The sequence below is a fragment of the Homo sapiens genome, chromosome 22 (genome assembly GCF_000001405.40).
Source record: "Homo sapiens chromosome 22, GRCh38.p14 Primary Assembly".
NCBI lineage: Eukaryota > Metazoa > Chordata > Mammalia > Primates > Hominidae > Homo > Homo sapiens.
This window is the reverse complement of record NC_000022.11, coordinates 16,157,342-16,162,625: the sequence shown is the minus strand read 5'-3', so window position 1 is coordinate 16,162,625 and position 5,284 is coordinate 16,157,342.

Genomic DNA, 5,284 nt, shown 5'->3' with positions numbered 1-5,284 from the left:
AGTTATTGCTTAATGAGTACAGAGTTTCAGTTTGGGGTGAAAAAAAATTTTGGAAATACATAGTTTTGATGATTGCACAACATTCTGAATGTAATTAATGTCTCCGAATTTTATGTTTAAAATGGCAAAGCTTATTACATAGGTTTTACCACAATAAAACATTACAAAATTAATCGCAGAACCAAAACTCTAAAACCATTTTTTAAAATTGTATAAATTTAAGGAGTGCAAGTGCAATTTTGTTACATGGGTATATGGGGTAGGAGTGAAATCTGAGCTTTTAATGTGTTTATCACTGGAACAATGTACACTGTATCCACTAAGTAATTTCTCATCACCCTTCCCCCTCCCACCCTCTCACCCTTCTGAGTCTACAGTGTCTTATCATTTTACACTCTTTGTTCATATTTACACATTATGTATTTCCCGTTTTTAAGTAAGAACATGCAGTATTTGATTTTATGTTTCTGAATTGGAAAACTATAAAACTCTTAGAATAAAAAATAACAATAAATCTTTATGGCTTTGGATTTGGCAATAGTTTCTTAGATATGGCACCAAAAGCACAGTGATAAAAGAAAATGTACTGGGCTTCATCAAATTTAGAAACATTTGTGTTTCAAAGGACGTAACAAACAAAATAAAACAACAACCAGAAAAGTGGAGAAAATCTTTGCAACTTATATATTTGATTAGAAATCTGTATCCAAAATGCATAAATAACTTTTACAACTCAACAGTAAAAAGAAAAAAATCATAAAAATAGGCAAAATATTTAAATAGACATTTTTGTGAAGAAGATATAAGAGTGTCCAATAAGTGCATGAAGAAAAGCCTAACATCACAAGTCATCAAGAAAATGCAAAATCAAAACTACAAGCAGATATCACTTAACACTCACTAGTGTACCTACAATGAAAAATGACAAATGGTTGGGTGCGGTGACTCACGCCTGTAATCCCAGCACCTTGGGAGGCTGAGGTGGATGGATCACGAGCTCAGGAGATCCAGACCATCCTGGCTAACATGGTGAAACCCCTTTAGCCATGTTACCGTGAAACATGGTAAAAAACACAAAAAATTAGCCGGGTGTGGTGGCAGGCGACTGTAGTCCCAGCTACTCGGGAGGCTGAGGCAGGAGGATGGCGTGAACCCGGGAGGCAGAGCTTGCAGTGAGCTGAGAGTGCACCACTGCACTCCAGCCTGGTGAGGCCGTAGAGAAATTAGATCTTTCATACATTGCCGGTGGGAAAGTAAAATAGTGCACACTTTGGAAAACTGTGAGGTGATTGCTGAAAAGGTTATGCATAGGTACCTTACGACCCAGCAATTCCATTCCTAGGTACATACCCAATAGAAATGAAAACGTATGAATGAAATATACAAAAGTTTGTACCTAAATATTATAGCGGCATTATCATAATTCTGAATAATATATACTAAATCGAAGTGATATTAAAAGTAATATTGATGAAATAAAATTAGAAATATAAAATTTTTACCAGCGATTGATTCAGCTGATTCAAATTACTTCTTACAGTCTTCAATTCCATATTTTGTACATTCGGAGAGCGAGTTCAAGTTGCTTCACTTCTAACTTTTTCTTTTGCTGCTTTTTGAATTTTCCTAATTCTTCCCTAATTTTTTCATTTAATATATTGGCACTTCTTCTCTTCTCTTCTTCTTGTTTTAAAGTCAATCTGCCATTAAATATACTTATCTTAAAATTCATTTTGTTAGAAAATAGAATTCACTTTGAGATCTACTTCTTCCTATGTTGGTTTATTATTCCAATAAAATTCCTACATTCTTGAATACATTTTTCCTTTCTAGTTCTGAGTTATTTAATTTATTACTGAACTCTCTTCCTAATGATACACATACTTGAAAAATAGTGAGAAAAGAACATCTTCTAGTTAGAAAGATTCTGTTACTAGTAACTTCAACAACTGTTATGGAAAAGAATACTGGAAGCTATCCAGTAAAGTTATAAGTTGAAAATTATTATTTTAAAAATATAACAGTCAAAATTACTCCTCAATGAGGACAGATCATTTAGAGTTAACTAATTAAAATGATGTTACTTTTTATAAACAAGTTTACATATTTATTAGACATAAATATTCATCTTTAAAAAATAAGGCAAGTATCCTTAAAAATAATTATAATATTATAATATGAGACTAGGCTGAAGAATCTAATATCTGTTATCCCATATATCTTTTGTTTCTTTTTTTAGTAATACTTTAAATGTATCTTGTTGATTATTTTATATTTTATCAATAAATTTTAAATCTCTTTTAGAATAAGACAGAATATAATATTTAATTAAAAAATAAAAATAAGTATTTTTAACATAGAACTCTGAATTAACTTTATTTATGTAGGAGAGAGAGAGATGTTGAATATACTAGTCATAAATTACTCTATGTTTTTCTTTATACTCCATGCATATTAAGATTACAAGTGTATAATTAAAGGAAAATGATTATTGGGGGTAGAGGAATGGCTGTTTCACACTCTCTTTGTTGAACTATAAATGAATATAAATTTTCTTGAGAACAATTTAGAAGTAATGAACAAAGAACTTCTTAAAAACTTCCTATAATTTAACCAAATATTTTTATATTGAAGAATTTATTCCAAGTCAATAATAAGAATGGTAGAAATGGATTTACATGCAGTTATGCCTTGCAGCACTTATTATAACACAAAAAAATTAAAAAAAATTAATGTTAAGTAAATAATGGGGTTTCCAAATAATGGCCTTCTACGTAGCCATTAAAATTGTGATTTAAATAAATATGCATTTAATTATCAGGAGATGTATTCACAGTTAAGAACTTGTATTATTTAAATGGATTTGACACTCTGCAAGACAGAGATTTCTTTCTCCAGTTAAACCTCAGAAGGTAAGTCAGCTAGTACAAAAAATATCCTATATACTAGTATGTCATACCTCACACTGCAGAGCTCTTGTTCTCTTTTAACTTTTTGATTCTCTATGATTTTATTTCTTTTGGTTCTGATAGTTCCTTTTGTAGTATATGAAGCTTTTTTTTCATTTGTTTCATTTTGGCTGTAAGTTGTTCACAGGGATTTTTTTTCTTTTTTTGACGGAGTCTCGCTCTGTTGCCTAGGCTGGAGTGCAATGGCGTGTTCTCCACTCACTGCAAGCTCCGCCTCCTGGGTTCATGCCATTCTCCTGCCTTAGCCTCCTGAGTAGCTGGGACTACAGGCACCCGCCACCACGCCTGGCTAATTTTTTTTTGTATTTTTTGTAAAGACGGGGTTTCACTGTGTTAGCAAGGATGGTCTTGATCTCCTGATCTCATGATCTGCCCGCCTTGGCCTCCCAAAGTGATGGGATTACAGGCGTGAGCCACGGCGCCTGGCTCACAGGGATATTTTTTAATTTCCCTTGCTCTTTCACAAGAAAGAATTGCATCCAAGAATTTTGATAGGCTAGTTGAATCTGTCTCCAGGAGGAGATAGAAATAAAATATATAAGTACTTTTGGGATATAAAGAACTGCATATTTTAACAATCACTAATTCATACACTGATCAAATATATATTGTTTGCCTACCTCGTGGAAGGCATTATACTAAGCTCTGCAGATTAAACAGAAAAAAACAAAAACCTCTGCCTTTGTTTAACTTAAAATGTGCTAAAAGACGAAGCCCCAGAAAAGTGACAGTTATAAATTCAGATAGATACTGTAAGAAAACAGTTTGCTAAGAATTAGATCTATACTAGGCTCATGGAAAATTCCCCCGAGGAATGTATAGCTACACTGAGGAATGAAGAATGAAAAGGAAGCAGTTGAGCAAAAGGGAAGGAAAGCATTTTAGCCAGTCTGTGGCATGTGCTGAAACTCTAGTGTAGTCTGCCTCTAGCCAAGGGAGAGCAACAGGTATGATTTTTCTTCTTAGCTAAAATAACTAAAATCAAAACACACAAAATACAGTAAATAATTTTTCAGACACTGGACATTAGGCAAAGAAGATAATAATCCCTAAAAAACAGAAAAAAAAACACGAAAGAAAGCAAACCTTATGAATGTTTCAGCTTCCTGCCTTGATAGAGATTCGGAGACATGACACAGGAAGAAAAAACTGAGGTGGGATCTACCAGACTCTCTTGGTTACATTGATGAAGCTTAGAGTCTGGTAAAACCAAAGCAGACAGATATTACAGAACAAACACTGAGGAGGAGAGAGAGATACAGAATCAACGGCAAGAAACTCCCTGTCAGTATTTAGCGAAATTTTGGAAATTGCATATGAGCTAGAAAACTACCTAAGAACAAACCGGGTGGGGGTGGGGGTGGGGGGTGGCCTATAAAATTAGAGGAAATCACACCTGGTGCTCACACAGTGCCAAAAAGAGCGTCTATTTTTATAGATTTGCCTGGGAAAACTCAGACTTCACAGGAAAATGAATGCTCAGAAAGGCCTTGCCTTAGGTATGGGGAGTTAGCTCATACCATAAAAAGAAAAATGAAAAGGATCAAGCTCTTTATAAGTAACTCAACTCTATTCTACTATAAAAATCAAGAAGATAAGTAAAGCAATAGAAGATACTTTTAAAAACCAAATTGCACTTGTAGAGATACAAGTTACAATGCTGGAGATGAAAGCTGCACTGAGTAGATATGAGCATAGATTAATTCACCATCATGAAATAAAAGATTCACAAATTTGAGACACTAGTGAACTAAGAGCAAACTTCCAGCAGGTAATATATAAGTCTGCAAAGAGGTAGGAGGAGAGGCAGAATAAAAAATTTGAGAAAAAATTGGCTAAATATGTTTTAAACTTAATGAAAGCCATAATCCCACAGATCTAGGCTGGGATCTGGCTGATAGAAAAGAAATGAAAATATGATTGTAATTTCTTATACCATCTATGATATGATATAATATTACTTGAAGATGGATTGTGATGAGGTAAATTCATACACTATAAATCCCAAAGCAACTACTAAGACAGCAAAGAGTTATACCTAATACCAAATAAACTTATACCAAAAAAGATATGACTAAATCATAAAGAAATGTAAAACTAGATTAATAACTAAAAAAGTTATGCATATACAGATATATAACTAAATCATAAAAATTACTAAACTAGTCTGAAGGAAGCAGAAAAAGGAAAAAAGCAAAGCAAAGATCTGGGACTAATAGAAATCAAACAGTGTGATGACAGACAACTCTAATCATATCAATAATTACATTATAAATTAAACTGGTCTAAAAACCTCTGCTCAAAGGCAGATTGTC